The sequence below is a fragment of the Homo sapiens genome, chromosome 4, assembly GCF_000001405.40.
Source record: "Homo sapiens chromosome 4, GRCh38.p14 Primary Assembly".
Taxonomy (NCBI): Eukaryota; Metazoa; Chordata; class Mammalia; order Primates; family Hominidae; genus Homo; species Homo sapiens.
In genome coordinates, this window is record NC_000004.12 from 165,704,721 (window position 1) to 165,729,168 (window position 24,448).

At 37.9% G+C, this 24,448-nt stretch overlaps 1 long non-coding RNA gene across 1 annotated transcript in view, besides 1 other annotated feature; it reads left to right on the top strand.

Moving 5' to 3' along the window:
* LINC01179 (long intergenic non-protein coding RNA 1179) overlaps positions 1–24,448 on the top strand; it is a 78,140-nt gene that overhangs the window by 20,082 nt on the left and 33,610 nt on the right. The gene's annotated exons all lie outside the window — the stretch shown is intronic.
* Positions 14,092–14,251: a silencer, noted in NCBI's record as "fragment chr4:166639964-166640123 (GRCh37/hg19 assembly coordinates)". NCBI's record gives its function as "represses an EF-1alpha promoter that drives an FKBP-Casp9 reporter gene in an ReSE screen in HepG2 liver carcinoma cells {active_cell/tissue: HepG2}" and the evidence as "EXISTENCE:reporter gene assay evidence [ECO:0000049][PMID:32094911]".

A 24,448-nucleotide genomic window follows, 5' to 3' on the forward strand; every position in this document is an offset into this window, starting at 1 on the left:
GAAATCACAGTGGCAAAGTACAGTCTTCTTAATTTTGATATTAATTCCTTTGGTGCTGGCCTGTAGAACTTTCTGCAATGAAATAAATGTTCTATACCTGCTCTGTCCAATATGGTAGCCATTGGCCATATATGGCTATTGAGCACTTGAAATTTAGCTAATGCAACTGAAACACTGAATTTTTAACTTATTTTCATTTTAATTACTTTGAATACAAGTAGCCATATGCTGCTAGTGGCCGCCATATTGGATATCACCAGTAGATGATTAGGAAGGATTCATGTGCTTTCCTGCTTAAGCATAACTCAACCCCTATCAAGTAGCGTTGATTCTGTTACCTAACATTGCACTATATTGATGGAGGCCACATTCTGTTTTCATCCATCTTTCCATGAGGAAACCTCCAGAAGGACCTGGAAAGGAAAGTGAAAAGGTTTATGAATAGGTCAATTAGTGAATTACCCAGTTTAAAAAGTGCCATCTCCTCCATGAAGCCACTGCCCACCCTTCCAGAATTTCCTCCCCTGGGCCTCCTGCCGGGATCTGTTTCCTTTTCTCAATCCCATGGCCGTTTATGCCACTCTCATAGTTCTTGTCAAATTCTACCCTGTATTACCGTTATTTGTGTACCTGGCTTATCCTTTTCTAGACACTTTGAGGGTAGAATTCAGAACAGAAGCCTGGCTGATTTGGGCATTCCTCAGAGCACCTAGTGTAGTAGCTTGAACAATAAATACTGGCTGGATGCATGAAATGTCTGTCTTCCTGTGGAGGTGAACATTCTAAAGGTAACCGTCAGTTGGAGGTCTCCCAAAGTCTCCACTGTGTGGCCAGAGCTCAGATACAATGCATGGCCTCAGCCTGGAAAGGTTACCTTTGATTTCTATCCACAAGAGGCTTTGGTGAACTCTGACTTCATACTCATTTGACATGGCCTTCCACTGTGACCAGCTTGAATATTTCCTTTACTTTGTTCTACTTCCTCCTTTTGCCATTTTGCCTCTAAAACTCACAGCACTGTGATGAGTCTTTGGCTTCTAAAGCAAATCACTTTTGTTGCAAGGGCCATTGTCTTTTCATTCATATTTTTACAAAGTGTTACAGTAAGCTAGCAGTGACCACTAGGACTTATTAGAGGAAACACTATTATATTCTATTATTCAATCTTCAGTGACTTTCTTTCCAGACTGAATCTTCAGTGTCTAAAAAGCAACCTGTAGCAGTTATGATTTGGGGAAGCTGTGGTGTAGTTAGGAAAACAATGACATGGTCAACTGAAATGTTGCAGGCCAGAGTAGACAGGTGAACCCTCATCGTTGCACTGCTTCTCTTTGTTAATGGCCACAGCACACTGGGATTACAAATGCAGTAATATTTCCATGCTGGTCTCTGCGTTGTCTCTGTTGAACATCTGTGTGCTGAGAATTATCCATGCTATGTCCCTTTGACCTGTTTCATGTGAACTGTTCTGGATGTAAATTTTTTTTTTAACCATTAAATCTAAGTGCAGGGTGTGAATCACAGCTGGGCGATGATAGGTAATTGGACAGGGAACTTACTAGGGGCATGAGAGCATCAGAGATCTCAAGTTCTCAAAGGAAAGACTTTTTTCAATAAAAGCAATGTAATATTGGGAGGGGATTTTTTTTTTTTATTTTCCTGGAGAAAGCAAGTAGATTTTTCAAGAAATTTTGTTTCAAAAACAGGCCAAATGTTTTAACAAAGTGCCTAAGATTATGAAGCCAAATAGTAAATTTAATATTTTCCCAACACCTAAATTAAGGGATCTTTTAAAAACCTATGTTATGGGAATTGGAGATATACATATATATATATCTCTCCTTCACTATGGGATACTTTGCTGTGATGGAGACCACAGCACTTAGTAGCTACAGGTCTTTCATGTATAATGACGCAATACAATTTTTGAAACTGAAATTGGAAAACTGACGTTTTCCGACACCACAGCACTGTCTTTTAGAGCTAATACTTTTATGTTTATAGGCGTAATATGAAATCTCCTTTGTGAAAAGATAATATTTTGGCCCAATTATAGAAAGAAGATTCTTTTCCCATGCATATTATCGAAGTGTTTGCATTTAAAAAACAGAACACAGGTAAAATGTATGATTGCCCCACAATGAGCACTCTCCAAACATGGAATGAAGTGAAAAGAAATTAGAGATTGAGGCTGGGCGCGGTGGCTCCCACCTGTAATCCCAGCAGTTTGGGGGGCCGAGGCAGGTGGATCACGAGGTCAGGAGTTCGAGACCAGCCTGGCCAACATGGTGAAACCTCATCTCTACTAAAAACACAAAAATTAGCCTGGCGTGGTGGCACGCACCTGTAATCCCAGCTACTCAGGAGGCTGAGGCAGAAAAAATTGCTTGAACCTGGGAGGTGGAGGTTGCAGCAAGCCAAGATCGCACCATTGCACTCCAGCCTGGCCGACAGAGTGAAACTTCGTCTCAAAAAAAAAAAAAAAAAAAAAAAAAGAAAGAAAGAAAGAAATTAGAAATTGCTAAAGGAATTTTAATACAGAGTAGACAGAAAGTACTCTCTTAGATTTATTCAACAACTTGTCCATTCTTGGCCCTGGTCCTGGTATAGCAGTGTTGAACCAAGCAAAATAAACACTGAATTGGTAAATGGAAGATACCAAAGTGCTTCACATATATTTCAGTTCTCTTAGTAAAAATTTGTGTAACTTTTTAAAAAATTACTGATACGGATTATTTAGGAAGTAAATATTTCTAGCACTATTAGCAATTGATTTATCATACATACTGTAATGTCAGACAGAATTCAAATTACCCCAGAGAATACCATATCACTCAGCTTTATGACATTTTCAAATGAAAAAAAAATTGCCTTACAAGCAGACAATTTCAAACGGAAATGTGTTTCTCCAAAATTTTCTGAGTCTTGCCTAGACTAGCTAATTCCTTCTCAGTCCTTACACCTCCTTCCCTATTTGTTTGCTAGTAGAAGAAATAGCATTTGGTTTAAAAGCAAATAGTTTGGTAAGTAATTGACCTAAGGATTTCATTTGGCTCTAAGCTTAAAATGAATCAACGGTGACACAGATGTTGAAAAAAAATGGAATCTTACATAGCATTAACAGAAGTATCATCTCCAGATGTTCTGACAATACTCTGGAAATAGAAAAATAACCTTGACAAAATAATGAGTTTCCACAGGAGGGGTGACCAAAAGGGTGAGGGATTTGTAAAACTCATACAAGTAATGATTGATAGACCTGGGAATACGGAGCTCAGAAAAATATAAATCTAGGTGATTATAGTTTCTTTCTTCATCTCTCTCTATCATATGAATGAGAGCATAGATTTACTTTATGTGGTCTCAACAGGCAAAATAAGACCAATGGTTGGAAGACAGAGGTAAGCGGATTCCAACTTTATATACAGTTGACCTTTGAATAAGGGTTGACCTTTGAATAAGGGTTTAACTGTGAGGGTCCACTTATATGCAGATTTGCTTCTGCCTCTGCCACTCCTGAGACAGCAAGACCAACCCACTTCTTCCCCCTCCTCTTCCTCATCCTACTCAGTGTGAAGACGAAGAGGATGAAGATCTTTCCAATGATCCATTTTCACTTAATGAACATATTCATTAACACATGTTCTCTTCTTTATGATTTTTTAAATTTAAAGTTCAGCGATACAAATTTAACTTTTAAGTGCAGGTTTGTTATCTAGGTGAACTTGTGTCATGGGGGTTTGTTATACAGATTATTTCATCACCTGGTACCCATTAGTATTTTTCCTGATCCTCTCCCTCCTTCCACCCTCTGATAGGCCCCAGTGTCTGTTATTCCCCTCTTCGTGTCCATGTGTTCTCACCATTTGTCTCCCACTTACAAGTGAGAATCTGTGGTATTTGAGTTTCTGTTCCTGCATTAGTCTGCTGAAGATAATGGCCTTCATTTTATTTTCTCTAGCTTCCTTTATTGTAAGAATACAGTATATAATATATATGCAATCTACAGAATATGTGTCAATTGACCGTTTGTGTCACCGCAAGGCTTCCAGTTAACAGAAGGCAATTAAGTAGTTAAGTTTTTAGGGAGTCAAAAGTTATACTTGTATTTCTAACATTGCAGGGAGCCAGTTCCCTTAACTCCTGCATTGTTCAAGGGTCAACTGTAGCTGAGGTTATCTACATGTCAAAGGTGATAAATGGATAAAAGGTGATAAAAAAAATTTTTTGTTTGTTCATTTTTTTTTTTTTATAGTTTAGCTGTCAGTGAGAGTGTCCTGGTGAAAATTGTCCGTGATTTCATAGAAGGTGTTCATAAATTGGGAGACAGGTCATATTTTATAGCCCCCATTCTCCTAATTCTAATATTCTGTCAGATTTTTAAATAGTTTTATATTTATTATTAACTTCAGAAAATATTTTTCATTCATTTTATTAAGCTGAAAGACAGAAAAAAAAATCTAGGCAGATATCATTAAAACAGAGGCAGAGAATAGTTGGCAAAACATTCCAAAACAACTGGAATCATTTCTAAGTATGAGTAGGAAAAAGAAGGTAAAAGCCAACCATATTTCTCTTTAAGTGGTCATAATTCAAATCGTACCATTAAAAATTTACTTTGTACAAGTATATTTTTTATCTCAGAGCCATTTTAGTTATTTGTACCAGATCCCTGAAGAGCTCTAGATTTGGGGTGTTGGCTAAGAAATTACAGATGACAGAGCCAGCTGTGAGCAAAGCAGGGGTCTTGGTTAAATGTGGTCAGAAGTATGCAGAAGTCAGGCAGGCAAGCAGTGGCTAAGCAAAACTATGAGAGACTGGTACAAGGAGACTGCCTCGATGTCCCTAAGCCGCAAAGCAATCCTTTGCCTCAGTGAAGAACATTTCTGCTGGGACCCACAAGTGGAAGCAGAGAGCGCAAGAGCAGGGCGGGAGCAACCCTGGGGCTCCAGTCCCACCGCTGCTCCAGCTGTGCTGGCTGCCAGGTATTTGGCACATTGTTTAATACCAGGAATTCATAGGCCTGCATTATTATTAAAATATTTCACAATACCAAAGTCCTGCTGAGGATAGTTTTCCACAGGCAGCTGAGGATCATATCTTCCTATGGTTTTCTATGACTGATTTTTCCCTTAAATCCCCCACATTGCAATTGACGCCAGGCTTTGAACACGAACCCTGCAGATAACTATAGTGCCAGGATGTCAGAGGAGGCAACCTCTGCTCTTAAATAGGGTGCCGTGCTGCACTTTTACTTAAACCTCGGGTAACTTTTCACCCAGTGTTTTCTCAGTATGTAGAATCAGACAGAAAACAAAAATCTTGGGATTAAGGAAAAGGAAACTTAAGACTTCACTGGCCTCTCATTAACTGATTTCATTCAGTGCTCCAATTCAGAACTCATCAGTACTAGCATAGTTTGCTTGCCCCCGACTATGTTCAGAGCCTCTTCCTCAATCTTCTCCTTTCAATCATCCTTTATGCTACCCTAAGTTGCTAAAACTCATCTGAGGTTCCTCCCTATTTAACATCAGCTTAGGCTTCTTAGTAAAGCAGTCAAACAGCATTTTTCTGCCACTCACCTACACTTCAGTCACTCTAGACTTTACTCATGTTACACAAATACAGCACACAGGCTAACACTTCTGTGCTTGTTTGTTTATTTTGTTCTTGCTGGTTTCTATTCTTGGAATACCTTTACCTTCTGGCCTTCTTCCCTCTATCATTCTCCCCCACCTTTCTGCTGGATGACATATACCTTCTCCTTCCCAACAGAACAAAAATTTACATTTTCCAGGAGACTGTCACTAACTTTTAAAACATTAATTATTAACTCCTTCATGCTCCTGTATCTGTATCTCTGTTAGTGAGCTTGGTCATATTGTAGTTTAATTTTGTTCTGTATGAATTTTTCTTCCTTCTATACTGTGAGCTCTCTAAGGGTGGGGCCAATTATGTCAACTTTTGTAGTTTCAAGATCTGGGACTTAGTAGACATTCAATAATACAATACAATTCTGGCACATAATATATACTAAGTAACTTTTGGATGTCATTGAATTTTATCTGTTGGATATTATCATTTCCCAGGTCCCTTTTGGATCTAAAATTCTATGATTCTTAGTGGTACTATGGGGATTATAAATGTTATTATACAATTCAGATGGAAGTGGCTTCGCTGAACTCTCCTAAGTGGCAAGTTAAATTACCTTGTGGCTTGTTAAATAGGAGAGCCAAGTCCAGAAACTACACGATTCTGGGTCAGCTTAACATTTATCGGCTTTCAAAGTCTATGTGGCTTTTGGTTGTTTAAAGGAACTACTGGTTTGTCCATCTAGGATTCAGTTATGGTTTTTCTGGGGCATCTTGGTAGAAACAGCCACGGGAGCATATAAGGAAAGAGAGTAGGCATGTGTTTTGTGAGATTTTCCCGCTTGCAGCTCCCCTGCCACATACTAGTAATGATAAAAACTCAGTATAAGCATGGGAGGCCTAGGAGATTGTTTGTCCCCTCTAGCAAAATCAGTTCCCCCTGAGTGGATATAGTGTCACAATTACACTAATTGAACTTGACTAACGTTTATAAACATCTGCTTGATGTTTTATTATTTCATATATTTATTATTTTTAAAAGCATTCTCAATACTAGAATAACTCTGGATAGCAGCCTGGGAATGAATGTCACCATTAAAGTAAATATCAGCAAAAGATGATCTCGTGTCAGTTTTGAACGGCCAAGGAAAATAAGATCCATTCTGATAGTCAAGGTATATACATTGATTCTCAAACACACAGGCATATACTTTTTCCTCCATCCATGTTCCCTCAAAACAATGGCAAACTCATATCTGACATCAAGTGTTTCCTCTTGGGTTTTGCCTAAGCTCCAGCTTATTATTTCTGGCACATCTCTCATCAGTGCCTAGCGGTTTTAGCAGCAGGATTTGGCCAATAATGGCTCTGGCCAATGGGTGTAACTGGAATTTAGGCACATATGGAAGGGTTCATCTGTTTATCATAGCAGCACCCAGCGGTGGGTCTGTGAGCATTTCCTTTCAAAACTGTTTTCCTGAGAGGTTTGAAGTTTGATCTTCAATTTCCTATTGGCTTAAAATTCGTCAACAGAGATATTTGGCTTTTTAATTAAAGTCTTGACTGGTCCAAACTTTCAGAAATACTGTTTAGTGAATATATTTTTTTTCCACTGGTTTCAGGGAAAAAAAGAAATAAGATTTACTAAGACTTCATGTTTCTTCCTAGTCTGGTATGATTCAAGTTATTAAGTTCACAAACATTTAGTCATTGTGTCACTTGGAGGGGATGAGCAGTGACCCAAAGGCTCTTGTAAGTTTTCTTAAAAGGTTTTTCTACCAAAGCCAGTCTGCGCTCTGCTGAATAAGCATTTTCTAATATACTCCTGTTTATAATCTTGACTACACAACCCTAAATTGACAACAGATCCACTCCTCATTGCCTAAGGACGAGGACTTTTAGGAGGCCAACTGTTCTCATGGACCTGAAAAAAGATTCATATCAATATTTCCCATTAAATACTCTAGGAATTTGGCAGAGACATCCCACTGCATGAGACTGTAAGAGTCCTGATGTGTTCCTCTCCACCAAAATTCACCATTGTGGCTTTAGTTCCACAAAAAGAATGTAAGATCCTTTAAAAAAAGCAGCCTATATTCTAAATACCTAGGCCTACCAAGGAGTTCCTGGGCCTCCTGGAAGCCTCTAAAAATCCTCCTTTTTTTTTTTTTTTTTTTTTTTTAACACCCAGATCTTATATTTCCTTATGACCTTTTATAAGAATAGCCTACTCGTGTATCTCACATTATGAAATAAAAAAGTTCCTAAAATAATTAAATTTTTAAAAATGAGAGCTACCATGTATTGAACACTCACTTTCTCACTGCACTTAAAAAAAATTAAAATTTTAAGTTTACTTATTTTAAATGGAGAAATAACACTCTATGTTTTCATCACATACAACATGATGTTTTAAAGTACATGTACATTGTGGAGTCATTAAATCTAGCTAATTAGCAAATGAATTACCTCACATAGTTATCATTTTTGTGGTGACAGTACATAACATCCACTCTAAATTTTTCAAGAATGCACTATATTATCATTAACTATAGTCACCTTGCTGTAAGGTATAAATTTTACCTTGCTGTAAATAAATTTCTCTTGAAATTTATTCCTCCCATCTAACTGTAGTTGTGTATCCTTTGACCAACGTCTCCCCATCCTCCCTAAGCCGTAATCATTTCAGCCCCTGCTAACTACCATTCAACTCTTTCCTTCCATTTGATCAGCTTTTGTAGATTCCACATATGCATGAGGTCAGGCAGTATTAGCCTGTGTGAAAACCAGTATGGAGTTTCCTCAGAAAACTAAAAATTGAACAACCAAATGTTTCAGCAACCTCACTATTGGGTTTATCTCCAAGGAAGTTGAAATCAATTTGTTAAAAGAGATATCTGCACGTCCATGTTTATTGCAGCACTATTCGCAATAGCCAAGATATGGACTCAACAGCAAATGTGGTACATACACACAGTGAAATATTATTCAGACATAAAAATGAATGAAATCCTGCTATTTGTGACAGCACAGATGAACTTAGAGGATGTTATGGTATGTGAAATGAGGCAAGGACATTTTCTTTTTATTACTTCATTTCATCCTCATATCAGCCCTACATGATGGGGATATTATCCACTTATCTAGCAGATAAGTAACGTGAAAGAATCAGAAACTTCATAAATGATCCAAGGTCACAGAGGCAGGAAGCTGAGTGATTAAAATTGGAGTGTTTGACACCAGGTCCTGTTTTTCATCTGCAGCAGCTTCCACACATTTCACACATCAAGGACCGTTTTTGAGATCCAAATCACCATGTGATTTTTGGCCTGTAACTAAGAAGGACTTTCGAGATTTGAGGGGCATTCATATAACTAAATTATTTTCATTTCTATTTATTAACAACTTTTTTTCAGTAGAGCCTGTCTCTTGCTAGCAATAGATAATATTTATCCTTGAATATATAAATAATTTTAATAGGCCATTCGTTGTATTCAAAGATGCATTTCTAAAACATGCTTTTTATAATGAATAATCATTTTTACCTTACTAATATATTTATGTTGTTTGATCAGTTGTCTAATAACAGTACTAATAACTCAATCTGGAAAAATTTTTTTTAAACTTAGACCACTATGATCATAGAAAATTTTAAAACTCTCTAATTTCAATTTTGTACCTATTCTATTACAGAGAAATGTAATTAGATGAACAAAAGCAGACTTTTAAGTTTAAAATGTTATATCTGAATAAAATCCTATGACGGATTGTCAAAAGGAAATATGAACTCAGAAAGAAAGTGGGATAATGTAAATTTTGGATCTATGAAAGAAGAGATTGTTCTGCATTTTTCAAGTGGATAATGGTTGGTGGATATCAAATATTTTTGGTATTAGTTTCAACTGAATACATTTAAAGGAGTGACAGAATAGTACTAAGTAAAATGTTCATGTTTATAATATGCTGTTCCTTACATCCTCTACAGTCAGTGGGATGGATGGTAAATTTACAACAAGCTCCCCAGGGCGTTAATGCCCTAATTTGTAGCATTTCCTGATTTTCATAATGTGAATACTTTCACCCTAGCTGATTTCAAGCTACCAATAGTTTAACAACTGAATGACAAAATCTCCAAAAATTTAACAACTGGCTCTCACAATCTCTACAAGCCAGAGCCAGTGCATTACTTATTATATCATGTAATATTGAATGTCGAAATAAAAATATGTGAAGGCTACATTATTTTCAAGTTCCTTCGTTTGAAAGCCCTTGCTAAAATTTTATGAGAACTTCTTTGAAATATAGATAAATCTTCAGTCCTATGTGCACCCTAAACTTCTACTTAAAGCATTCACAATGATCTTGTCTTTTCCTTCTGTCATAATTTCTCAAATTAGCTATTCCTAAGAATTACATATGAAACTTTGGGAAAAAATGCAGATGTTAGGGCCCACCTCATACCTATTAAATAAGAATCCCGGCCGGGCACGGTGGCTCATGCCTGTAATTCCAACACTTTGGAAGGCCGAAGCAGGCGGATCACCTGAGGTAGGGAGTTCCAGACCAGCTTGACCAACGTGGCAAAACCCTGTCTCTACTGAAAATACCAAATTAGCCTGGCGTGGTGGCGTGCGCCTGTAATCCCAGCTACTCAGTAGGCTGAGGCAGGAGAATCACGTGAACGTGGGAGGCGGAGATTGCGGTGAGCTGAGATCGCAACATTGTACTCCAGCCTGGGCAACAAGAGCGAAACTTGGTCTCCAAAAAGAAAAGAAAAAAAAATCCCTAGCAATAGGACCCATCCATGTTTATTTTAACAAGCATCATAGATGATCCTGAGACAGCCAGCCTAGCACTTCTGCTGTCCTGGAAGATACTGCTCTATAAGGCTGAATTGAGAATAGGAATTGAGATAGAAGCCTTTTCTCACTCTTTCAATGTGAAACAATTAGAAAACCTCAATGGGCTGGTTTTGTGCTTTTTTTTACTAGAGAGCTAGAAAAAAGTTGTGAGACTGTTTTTTCTGTACTAGATGAATTAGTTCCTGAGTTAAGTTTTGAAGCAACACTTGGTTGTGGTCAAAGAAACAAGACAAGCCATTTTCTGGGATGACTGTGGGGAAAGAATGATAGTCCTGAGATCTTGACCTGAAGCCAAGGAATGTGCCTGTGAAGCTTTCCATTCCCTAAAAATTCTGTTTCTCTACCTTATCCTAGAGCCTCTGCTATGGACTAAATGTGTCCCCCAAAATTCATGTGTTGGAAACTTAATCCGCAATGCAATAGTGTTGGGAGGTGGAGCCTTTTGAGAAGTGTCTAGGTCATGAGGACAGCACCTTCATGAATGAATTAATGCTGTTATTGAAAGGGCTTACAGGAATGACTTCTCTCTCTTCTGCTCTTCTGCCATGTGAGGACGCAGCATATCCTCTCCTGCCCTTCCTCCTTCCACCCTGTGAGGACGCAAGAAGAACCATACCAGGAGCTAGCACTTTGATCTTGGACTTCCCAGCCTCCAGAACTATGAGAAAATGAAATTCTGTTCCTTTTAAATTACCCAGTTTCAGGTATTCTGTTACGGCAGCAAAAATAGGCTAAGGATGCCCCATTTCTGCCTCTTATCAACTTTTGTGACTTTCCCCAACAATCCAAAATCAGCGAAACTAGGAGGTTGTAAGCATTTAATGAATCGTGTATTTGAAAGTGCTTTATAAAAGTTAAAGGTTCTAGTTTACATATTAAGAGAACAAAGCCCTATTTTAATCCCAAACTGATATAAAAGAACAGCAGCCAATGTCCTCCCATAGAAGTGTATCTCTGAGTTCCAGGCTCAGCATTCTCTGGGACCCACAGTGTGATCATTCATTGTTTGGCAAGAGCAGAGCTGTTCTGTGGGAAAGTCAGCTCTGAAGATGACTAACCATAAGGTCCTTGGGATTCTTTTTCCATGGCTGCACAGAACTCCACCACTGTAACTAGATGTCAAAGTTCAGTCCTGGGCTGTCCTGGGCTTTTCTAGGTGTTAGGACCTCACCTGTGATGTCCACCCATCATATAGGACCTTAGTTGTGTGTGTTCTCACTATTGTCTGTGTCTGTGGATGATAACAACTCCCTCAAACTTACTATTATTAGAAGAGAAATGTTTCAAATTTTGAAGAAGTGCACTGCCTTCTCCCACTCCCACTCTTTTCAATTATCCCTGGTCCCTAGAGTAGGCTTTCCAGTAGGCAGTCCCAATAATGAATCCAAATACAGGACCAAAGATGGTCTAAATCCTTCCTGAGAGTGTGAGAATTGTTCCTCCACTACTGCTTAGAGTAGCAGATTGCCTCAGGGGACCAGGAGCTGCCAGTTGGATGGGGCTTTCCACTTGAATTTCCTTTGTTACTCCCAAGAGGCCCTTGGAATATAAAGTGTGCAATCAAAATCATTATAGGAGGTTATATTCTTGTTCAGGGCATATTAAAGCATTTGTGTGAGCAATTACTATTAGACATTTCCTGCTGAGATATTCCCAGGTGCTAGAGAAGTTGACTTATTTGCTATGAGAAAACACATTACTCACTTTAATAAGTCCAGTGTCTTTTGTCAAGCTAAATTTCTCATGAAGTGTTAAAAACGTACAGAAAATCACAGATAATATAATATAACTAACATCCACTATGCTACAGATACAATAAAATGTTACAGATACAATAAAGCATTTCAGATTTAATTGAAAGGCCTGGATAGCTCTTCTTGGTACTGTTTACTTCTCACTCTCTCAGAAGGAGCCATTCCTCTAAAGTTGGACTGTTTCTTTGTTATGCATGAATTTGTATTTTTACTATATGCATGTATTTCCATAAATAATATGAAAAGATGCATGTTTTGAAATTTCATATATGAGAAATCTGCACTTTTAAAACATGTGTCAGTCCGCACTTTTTCCATGATGGTTTTTTTTTTTTTTTTTTTTTGAGACAGAGTCTCACCCTGTCGCCCAGGCTGGAGTGCAGTGTCGTGATCTCAGCTCACTGCAACCTCCGCCTCCTGGGTTCAAGCGGTTCTCCTGCCTCAGCCTCCCGAGTAGCTGGGGTTACAAGTGCATGCCACCACACCCAGCTAATTTTTGTATATTTTTTAGTAGAGACAGGGTTTCACCATGTTGGCCAGATGGTATTGTTCTCTTGACCTCATGATCTGCCTGCCTTGGTTGGCCTCCCAAAGTGTTGGGATTACAGGCGTGAACCACCACACTCGGCCCCATGATGCTTTTAAAAACATTTATATGTACAGTATATAATTTTATATAATTCAATTTTATTTTTCTTTTCACTATATGTACGTATATACCTCAATTTCTTTATTTTAGCTTTTTTCCTAGTTTTTTACTGTCACAAGAAATTGTAAAAAGAGCCTCTTTGTACATACCTTCTTGTATATGTAGAGTGGAAATTCCTCTAGTTTTTTGGGGGTTTTTTTGTTTTTTGTTTTTTTTACCTAAAAATGAAATTGCTTGGTCAAAGCTCATCGTTGTCAGGTCAGCTTTACTCTCATGATCTTACAGTGTGTTGTCTTCCAAAAGCTTCAGAGTCAACCTTGCACAGTTAGAGTTTTAATCCATCTAAAATTAATTTTCTGTTTTGTGGGAGGTAAGAATCATGAATAACATGCAAAATCATTTGTCCTAACAAAACTGATTGACTAGCTCATCCTTTTCCTACTGATTTTCCTCCACTCCTGTTGTGTACTAAATTTCCAAATTTCTGAGTTCCCTATTCTTTTCCACTGTTCATCTCCTTCTGTACCAATACCACGTGGTGTTAATTACTCTGATTGTATAACAAGATTGAATATATTATAGTTAACTTATTCTTCTTCAGCACTCTCTTAATTATTCTTGGTTCTTTATTCTTCCATATGAATTCTATCATCATCTTTTGAAGTTTTACAGATTTCTTACTAAGATTTTTATTGGAATTTCAGTGAACTATAGATCAATTTTAGGAGACTTAATACCTTCAAATAGTGGAATTTCCTACGTATGTGGGGCTTCTATTATATATTTCAATATTATTTTATTATATCTTGCACAGTCATTTGTGGATTTATTCTTATGTACCTCAAAGTTATTGTCTCTTTCGCCATCACTGGAATTTATTTCACTGCTCAGAATTCAATGAATCCTTTCAATCTGAGCCTTGTGTCATTCTTCAATTTAGAGAAATTTTATTTTATTATTCCTTATTTTTTTTGTCTTGGTTCTCTCTTTTGGAAATTTCTTTTAGACAGATGTTGAAATTCCTTTTTTGTTTTTCTTTTTTCTGAGACAGAGTCTCACTCTGTGGTCCGGGCTGGAGTGCAGTGGCAAGATCTCTGCTCACTGCAACCTCTGCCTCCCGGGTTCAAGCAATTCTCTTGCCTCAGCTTTCCAAATAGCTAGGACTACAGGCACGAGCCACTGTGCCCGGCTAATTTTGTATTCTGGTTAGAGACAGGGGTTTCACCATGTTGGGCAGGCTGATCTTCAACTCCTGACCTCGAGTCATACCGCCTGCCTCAACCTCACGAAGTACTGAGATTGCAGGTGTGAGCCACTGCGCCCTGCGCAGATGTTGAAGTTATGCTAACACTTCATGTCTCAGTTTTTCAAGCTTTTTGTGGTTTTTGTTCTGTGTTTTAAAAGACTTTCTTAATTTCATTTTCCAAATTACTAATCTAATCCTCAACTATGTCCTTTTGAGAATTTGGTCCATCTTTGGATGTTTTTATTTCAGTAATTATACATTTCATTTCAGAGAACTCTTTCTCCTACTCTGATTGCAAAGTTTTCTTGTTTTATGGATTAAATATTCTCTTCTATTCCTGAGGGTACTATTTAGAATATTTTAAAAGTTCTCTTATGTTCTTTATATAATTTATTTTTCTCATCATCAGATACTGTTTGTTAATCTTGGTTTTTGCCCCTTCCAGATTGATTTTTCTCAAATACCTGTTGTCCCTTTGTATGAAAAGCTAGCCTGACTGGGATAGGTAGTGACTACAGATTTTTCCAGTTGTTGGAATATAGGACTGGACTAAACACTACCTCATCCAATTTCCAAAATAAAAAGGTCCAGGCAGTACAGCATTTCATTCACTTTCCTCCTGGGTCCAGTTGTGTTTTTTTCCCCATCTTTCTATGATTGCTATTGACATCTAAGTGGCATACTGGATAAAAACACAGACCTACACAGCTCCCTGAGCATATATCGCAGCTACACTGTGCATTAGCTGTGTGACCTTGGGCAAGTCACTTGACATCTGTGTTTCTCATTAAAATGGGGAAAGTAGCAGAATCCACACTATAGGGTTATCATGAAGATTAAATAAATCAGTGCTTGGAAACTGCTTGAAACAGGGCCCAACACATAATAGCTGCTTTATAAATATTAGTACTGCCTGTAAACTATGTTTTTATATTCATAATAGCATAAATTACAACTCAGCATTCTTTTTTTTCTTTTTCTTTTTTTTTTTTTTTTGACAGAGTCTCACTCTGTTGCCAGGCTGGAGTGCAATGGCACAATCTCGGCTCACTGCAACCTCTGCCTCCAGGGTTCAAGCGATTCTCCTGCCTCAGCCTCCTGAGTAGCTGGGACTACGGGCATGCACCACTGCACCCAGCTGATTTTTGTATTTTTGGTAGAGATGGGGTTTCACCATGTTGGCCAGGATGGTCTCAATCTCTTGACCTCATAATCCACCAGCCTCTGCCTCCCAAAGTGCAGGGATTACAGGCGTGAGCCACGGCACCAGGACAGAACTCAGCGTTCTTAAAAGAAGACTTCCCTAAGAGGATTTCCTCCTTTTTTTAGAGAGCAATTTAAGGTTATTGACCTATTTGAAAATAGTGCTTTTCAGCTCAGTGGGAGAGTGGAGAGTAGCAATAGAGACAAAACTGTTATGAACATCTTTAATTCTTTACTTTGAAGTATCACTGAAAACTTTGGTAGTTTTCTTCTGTGTGGTATTGTGGTCCCCAGTTTCTCCATTCTTATTCTTTTTCAATCTATCAATTTGCTGTTAATGTTTTAGTAATTTTTCAAATTTTCTGCTATATTGATTTTAGCCTTCCTCATTTCTTAGTAAAGTTGTAGATTTATCCTTTATTAAAAATCTTTATATCATCTCAAGAATTATGTTGCAGAAAGTGAGATCCAAAATTATGTTTGCTCCATAACCTTGATCCAAATGGCACCTTCTGGATTTTGCAAAGAGAAAATTGTGAGTGACCTTGGCGATAGCAGGTTTAATGGACTGGTGGAAAGAGTGTAAATTTTAGCGAGTTGAAGAGTAGGTAGTAGATGTTGAAGCCACTGTAGCAAGTATGGACAATGGCCTGGACAACAGGAACATTTCCAAATTCTACTATCATTTGAGATATTTGGCATGCAATATGTATGTCCATATAATAGATATAGTGGAAGTAGCATGTAATATTTCAGAGGAACTGAAAGTGTGGAATGCAGCATGTGTTTCATAGCTGTGAAAATGCATATCTCATATACACAGAGTACAGGACTCAAGAAGCTGGAAGCTCTAGTTCCAACAGCTGTTCAAACAGATTTGTTAACTTGCCTTGAGTAAATAACTTAACCTTGCCAATAGATTATTATTTCTTGTCCCATCCCTTGCTCACTGGAGTTACTCTGGGAGGACTTATAAGCAAAGCACTCACATTTTTAATAGATAAATGTGCATTATATATATATATATATACACACACACACACACATATATGCATACACACACACATATAAAATCTTTCAAGGCTATTCACTGATAGGTCTCCAATTGCTCATTTCTCCTCTGAAGACATGTTCTCTACTCCAGTGTTTCTGTAAGATCCATGGCCCACCTACTTTATAACAACTTGGGTTTCACTGTTAAAAAGATTCCTGAGGTGCAGCCCAAACCTACTGAGTCACAATTTCTATGGATGGGCCTAATAATCAGCATTTTTCAAGTTCATGAGTGAATATTATCCACACCAAGGTTGAAGGACCACCACTTTAGTGTGGGATGCTCTCTATATGACTGTCAACAAAAAAGCAGACTCATGTTCCTGTCAGGTTACATGCATTTCTATGTCAAAGGACAACTACTGTTTAAAAGAGGAAACTGATATTTTAAAGAGCATAATTAGGATGTTCTTCAATGACAGCAACTAAAATTTGAGGAGGAAAATTGGCTTGGTCTATAGCATACATTTGTGGATGATCATATCAAAATGTGGGAGATTGTTTTACATTTCTTTCACCTTCATTTTGGAATTTGTTGCTATCACCTCAAACAGAGTTCTCAAGGCAAAATTTGAGAGTTTGGGGTATTATTAAGCCCTCTTGTTTTCCCTGATCTCCTTTTGCAGAGGGGACTAAGAAGAAACTTAAGAAGGTCTCCAGGTCCTTCCATATATCACTGTAGACAAGTGATAGAAAGGAGGAAAACCACTCTGGCTAAGCAAAACTTGTGTAAGAGGCCCAGCCTTAGAAACCTTTTCAGGAACTGCCAACAATTCTAATGGGGCTTTTTAGTTAAAGAAGCCTGGAGACTGGAACTATGTAGACACAGAGGAAATCTTGTTAACTGTCACCAGGTTAATCATTCGGCCCAGCGTTCTTTAAGTGAGAGCTGCTTTGCCACTCTCCTGTTCTGCGTGCCACAGTGCCTGAGTCCACTCCCAGCCGAGTGCCCTCCTGGGGACAACTAGAAGCACTGGCAGGTGCTCCAAGGTCCTCCTTTCCCTCTTCCCTGCCCCTGCTCCCTAACTGATGTGTGAAACACTCTAACTACTTGACCCATGGTATGAAGGTCTTTCAGTCTTAACATTGAAGGAAAAGCAATAAGTTGAATATCAGTATGTCTTGGTGAAAACTTTCTCTGTCATTGATTCCCCAATTTTAGTTCTAAAACAAATTGATTTTACTATATCAAATAACTGAAAAGTCTTATTTTTACTAAATGAGTAGTTTCTTTGAAATAATTATACTTAATTTATTGTTTTTTTCTTTTTGAAATTCTCATAGAATTTGCATTCCACTAACTGTTGTACTTAAATTTTCTTTCAATAGAAGGATGAATAGAGTCTTGATAGAAGATAACTTTGTACCTCTTACCTCTATAGCCTCTTGTCAAAATTCTTAAGGGAAATGCTAATGAGGTAATGAATACGTTAGAAATCTCTGTCTGAATCAAAGCCAAACAGTTCCCTACATGATCATCATTATAATAGGAAATAATTACCAAGCATGTTGAGCTGTGGAACAGTGCAGGTCTTATTCCTTTAAGGTATCTACTAGAGATAGATGAGGAAAATACCTAAACACACTGAAAATGTTTCAGAGAGTGCCTTGTTACTTTAGACAAATGTTGAATGAATTTCTCAGTCATCTGGGAGCTTCTATATTAGGTCTTAATCAGAGAACACATCAGTTAGCTGAAGAGCTAAATGTCCATTAAGTATAAACTTTGATTTTGTTTCCAATAGTTAGGACAAATATTAGCTAACAGGGACTTGATTTCAGTATTTTCCCAGGAGTTATTCAGAAGAAGTAATGAAGAAAGCAGGTACTTTTATTCAAAGCAAAGCATAGAGTTGAAGAGTCGGTTATTTCAGTGCTGAATACTAATCTGTAATAATTAGCAAAATTTAACATCTGAATGAATCACATCTTTGTTTTTATTTTTCAGTAAAGGCAATGAGACCTTAATGAGTCTCTGTGTATAAATGAGGTATTTAGTCAGTCCCCCGACCTCTCCCAAGCTTTTACTCTCCTCTTCAACTTTTCAGTAAAGGTTTTGGGTTTTTCCACTGTTCATGTGTAATGTCTATCAGATAATGGGCAACTGAGAGGGGAAAAGGCACAAATTCAATAAAATTGTCAGGATGCTTGCCAAGTCAGTGGGGAAACACCCAGTGTTTACCTGGCTATTTCTGTAACAAATTGCATTACAGTGTATGTATTTCACAACAACACTGCTAACATTTTAACTCCTTCATGATTTTATGAACTGTGAGCTCCTTCAAGATGCAAACCAAATTACATTTTCTACTATTTCCATACAGACTTGCTTCATGCCTGGCACACAGAAAGTATTCCATTAACACCTTCTTAATTAAATGAGGTTTTGCCACCCCTTGTTTTGTAACTCACTCAAGTACACAATTTGCAAGTTTAAATGCTACAGATGAGAGTGCATGTAACCTTTGTGGAACAATATAAAAGTGAGTTTTCTTCATGAATCAATTATTCATGGTCTGAGTTCCCAGTGACTCAGAGAGTGCCGTCTTTCAATGCTTTAATACACTAAGGAGAGAAACTCAGTAGATGATTGGTAATTCTAAGAATCTTTAGACCCCAGACCAGGAATTTGAGGCTGTACGGCTTGAGATAACGCACAGATAAAAGATATGTTTTGCTGAAAACAAAATATTTTTATAATAGGGAATTTTGCATTAAAAATATCTAGAGTTCCAACTTCTCTGGATTTCAGGAGGTTGAGCAACCCTTGGCAATAATCCTTTGGAGCTGATGAGGGGCTGCTTTCTTATAATCTCAGTTCTCCTGTGTCATGTTTCCCTTAACTTGTATTGTTTTACTTTGGACCCTTAGATATTTTAATTTGTTACCTCTTTCCTCCCCATCCCCCCATTATAGAGGCTTAAGACTTAAAATTAACCAGGATATGTTGAATATTTTTTGGCAATTTTGAAACTCTGCAGAAAATTTGCTGTGAATTAAATTTCTACTTTTGTGTTCTATCCATTTCTGGAAATTGCTAGAACTCCATCAGGAGTTATATGTGTCTCTCAAGGTCCTACTAGGACATCCATTTCCAAAGTTAACTGGACTGTCACTCAAGAGCATATAGTAAATGGCCCTCATGATAACAGAAGAACCAATGAATAATTCAACATTGTCTGATAAGCCCTGGGGGCCCACCTTCTAACATCCCTAGCTTAGAAGATCCTGGTCCTTGGTCTCAACCGATATCATGAAGGATATTGGTAAGACATGATGAGAGCGCTGGATGACATGACTCTCTGCCACCCTGACCCACACCAAGTCTTTGCCTGCTTCTGTGTCCCATATTGAAGCAATTCTTCAAAAATGGCCAAATTATCTTTATGATAATTTTAATTGTGCGGTTAACATTTTAGCATTGCTTGTGAGTTATTCTAAAGATCCTTGGAATACAGTAATTTATAATTGTGCTGGGTCAAGTATTGGATCAAGCATGGTGGGAGACTGGTAGTTAGAACATTAATGACTTCACTAGTTAGTGAGGCTCACAGACCGCACACACGCACATCTCCATGTGGCGTTGTTGCCACGTTTTTATTTTTAAGTCTGTATTTTATGGTAGTGTATATATGTAACACTGTAATTGTAGTCTCAAAATAGGAAAATGTCATGGATTTACTCTAATGATAACTATGCAATTTAAATAGGCCCTCCGTTTACTCCAAGTGCAGATTTAAAATATTTTTTTCAGATTTGGAAATGATTTTCAGTAATAATTCATAGGACATGTTGGCAGAAACATTTCTCTAGGCTCTGTCTTTAATTTTGGATGTTGCTAGTATAGTTCTTTTGCTCCATCACAGGCCTGCTTCTCTAAGTTCTATGAGGTTAGTAATATCTTTATGCAGAATCACAATAGCCCTATGTCATTCATCCCAGTAATATGCATGAGCTGAAAAGTTGGCTTGTCTTACAAATGCTAAGAAAAATGCTTCATGCCAAACTTCTTAACAGTGGCCCCTTCTTAGAGAATAAATCATTCTATGTTTTCTTTAAGATTCATTGCCAACGTTTAAATATTTATAACTTCAGATGAAGCAGGAATCCTGGTTTTGAAGTCCTGGAGCATGAGCTAAAGTCTTAAGCTCTATAATTAATAATAAGCTACATGTTTGTACAGATACAACAGGTGTGTAGAAGATCTATGTTACCTATTTGACAAGGAGAAGTGAAAATTGAATTTTCAACATGCAGGCTGATTTTTATGTTAGCAGAATAGAAAAGGGGCCTATTTTTTATCAGTTGAACAATTTAATCTCACCGTGTAGTGGTGTCTGTCACAATGATTTGAGGGAAAAAAGTCAAGAGGCAGGCCAAGAAAAGCAGGGCAGACCAAATGCAAGCATCAGAACACTCATGCTGCAATGGCCTGGTAAATGACAAAGTCTGAGAAGTCATGAAGACTATGGAGCAAGACCAAAGGTCCAAAGTCCCTGCAAGTGTTTTCTAATCATGGCATCTATGGGAAAGGGGAGAGCTAGGGCAAGCAACACAATTGAAGAACATGGATGCAGAAAGTTGGGAAAGGGCTTGGAACAATTAGTTTTCCTAACCTCAACTTCCTTTCCTCATTCTCCCTGGTTATTGTCAACTCCAGTAGAAGTTGACAATAGGAGTACAGGTGATGCTAACTAAAAACAACTGGAGGAGAGTGTGGACAGGGTCAGGGAAAAGTCACTGTTCTTTATAACAATGCAAAAAAAAAAAAAAAAAGGAAGTATGAACTTAGTATCATTCTTGAATTCCTCCCTTAAGTCAATTTATTTCCAGTCTAGGAGGCAATGTGTCTCTGTGCTTTATGGCCAGTAGCCAAGAATCTCTCTTCCGTTATAAAGAAACTTTCATAAGGATGCAGAATGGGAATCAGAGAGCAAATGGAGAATGAAAAAGTTGTGGGACTAGCGACCACTCCTGGCCTAGTATTAAACCAATCCCAAAGCCCCACCCCACTCACCAAGTTCAGCCTCCCCTGATCGCCTCCATGTGAGGCTGGCAGCCTTTAGAGAAGGAGTTGCTTCTCTTTGACAACTCTGGTTATAATCCAATCATCTCTTCTACTCTCCTCATTCCCTTGAAATGTTAGCTTTCTCTGCCCTTGTTCTCAAATACAGCTTAAGTTTGGAATCTTCATTCTTAAAGGATCAGCATTGGTTCTTCACGAGAATAGTAGTTAGAATGATTTTGATCTCTTCCATCAACTCTATCCAGACCTGTCAGCTCAGATTGCCCTGAGAGACTAGTAGAAGTTAGATGTGCTGATTTTTAACCCTGATGTCTGGTCAAAAGCCAGAGTGAATTCTAAAGATTTAAAGCAAATATCTCTATTATTTAGAAAGAAATTATGGCCTGTTTAGAAACTCTTGACATAGTCTGGTAGGTATTGTATTAACTACCACTCACTCTTCAGTAAAAAGCTGTCAATTAGTTAACTCCTTCTGGGCCATAATGAGCTAATAATGTAGATTGGTGTTGTCTAACTGACGTATAATGTGAGCCACAAATGTGAACTATACATATAATGTTAGATTTTCTACTAGCCACATTGAAAACAAAGGAAAAAAACAGAAAAACAACCCCCCACCGGTGAAATTAATTTTAATAATATAATTTATTTATCCAAATACATCCAAAGCATGATCATTTCAACATGTAATCAATATAAAACTTATTCATGTAACATCTTACATGTTTTTGTACTAAATATTTGAAATTCATATACTTACAGCATATTTCTATTTGGACCAGCTACATTCCAAGTGTTTAATGATCACTTTCACCAGTGGCTACCAGCCTTAAATAGAGGGCCTGGTGAGGTGGTTTTTCTTTCTCAGATTTACTGAGATTCCTTTGAGCCGCTGTATGAGTCAGGGTTCTCTAAAGGAACAGAACGAATAGAATAGATGAATATATAAAGGGGAACTTATTAGGAGAATTGACTCACATGATCACAATGTGAAGTCCCACAATAGGCATCTGCAAGCTGAGGAGCTGGGAAGCCAGTCTGAGTCCCAGAACCTCAAAAGTAGGGAAGCCAATAGTGCAGCTTTCAGTTTGTGGCCAAAGGCCCCAGAGCCCCTAGCAAGTCACTGGTGTAGGTCCAAGAGTCCAAAAGCTGAAGAACTTGGAGTCTGATGTTCCAGGGCAGGAAGCATCCAGCACGGGAGAAAGATGGAGGCCAGAAGACTTAGCCAGTGTAGTCCTTCCACGTTCCTCTGCCTGCTTTTATCCTAGCTGCCCTGGCAGCTGATTAGATGGTGCCCACCCAGACTGAGGGTGGGTCTGCCTCTCCCAGTCCACTGACTCAAATGTTAATCTCCTTTGACAACACCCTCACAGGCACACTCAGGAACAATACTTTGCATCCTTCAGTCCAATCAAGTTGACACTCAATATTAACCATCAGAGTCACACAGTTCTCTAAAACAAAATTATTTCCTAAGCTCTCTGTAATTTATCTTTATGATTTTAAAATGTATATTTCAGATAAGTTCAGACGCTTTTTCATTGATTGCAATTCAGATTCCTTCAAATGTCTTCCTTTCTCCAAGTAGATGGCTATCTTTGTTTCTCTACTCTATTCCACCTCCCCACTCCCACTCCCTCCCAGAGAAGAATTTTTCATAAATTTAAAGGGCCACACATTTTTCCCAAGGTGCTAAGATTTGCTCCAGACAGATCATTAGGGCTTTCTGCAACTTATCCTACAACCTGAACCCAGCCCACACCATCCTCATTAGAAGGCAGCCTACAGAGCATCAGCAAAAAAAGCTGAATTTTTTAAAGGAGAATGCCCTTCCATAGGACAGAGACAACAGAACAAGAATCTAAGGACTATGGGTCACACTTTCTAAAACTCAGCAGATCTGTCTGGAATCAATGTAGTAGACTTGAAAAATCAATTTTTCTAGTTATGCAAATGAGTTTAACTGGCTTTATTTTAAATAGAGAAGATTGACTGTGTTGGATCAGTCCTCTTTTTATTCCAATCAAATGCAGAGTAATATAAACAAAGTATGAGCAGAAGAAAGTTGGGTAGAAAATTATCTAATATACACTATATAAGAGTTCTCCTATGAGTGTGATTCCTTCTGCAGAGGGTTGCCCTGTTAGTCTTCTTTTCTTCTGGGTCTGGTGTGGTGCCTAGCACCTAGTAGGTCTCAATAAATATTTGTTGGATTAATAAACAAAATACCCAACTTTAAAAATTTCCATTGTGTGTACTATATGAATAATATTGAAAGGTACTCAATTAGTATAGGGTGAAGAATGCATGGTCCAGCTACATTGTTGTTAGCCGAATAGTTGTTAAATTATTGTAATTTAAAAGAAGTTGGAAAACAACTCCCCACCACCAGCAGCCCTGCCCTCACTGCTCAGTCCCTCCCTCATTATCCCACCTCCCAAGATCCACTCACTGAAGAACGAGGGCCTGGCGCCTTCACTGGCCATCAGTTCTAATTGGGCACATTCTGGCTGGCAATGTCTGGATGAAAATATTTTGAATATAATTCTCAAGTGTGTGTTGAACCAAACCCTCTGGAAAAGCATATGACGTAAAGTGCCTTAAGTTATATTTATTGTCCATGAAAAAACATTCCTGATAGAAATTTTTAGAAGTTTTTTATTGCTGATATGTTTTCATAAGACTATGGAATACACTGTGAAAGAAACTAATTGTACATAAGGATCCTTTTGTGAAAATAAATTTCATTCTGATTTAATATAAACCCATTAAAACATCTCATTTACCTCTCTTACAATTGATTTTGTTGTATTGTTAAAAGGTTTTCTGTACAAATTTGGCATTGCAGAAGTATGTTTCGAATAGTATGGGAAAAACAAATTATCAGAGTTTATCAGGGGTGGGGAATATTTACAAATCCTCAACAAAACTTGTAGTGTTTGGTCACACGAAGACAAAAACATGAAAGAATACCTGAGAAAAATACTTGAGACAAAGAGAGAAGAAATAAAGCTGTTAGTCATGGACACTTCTGATGCATTTTGTACAGGTATAACTTTCTATA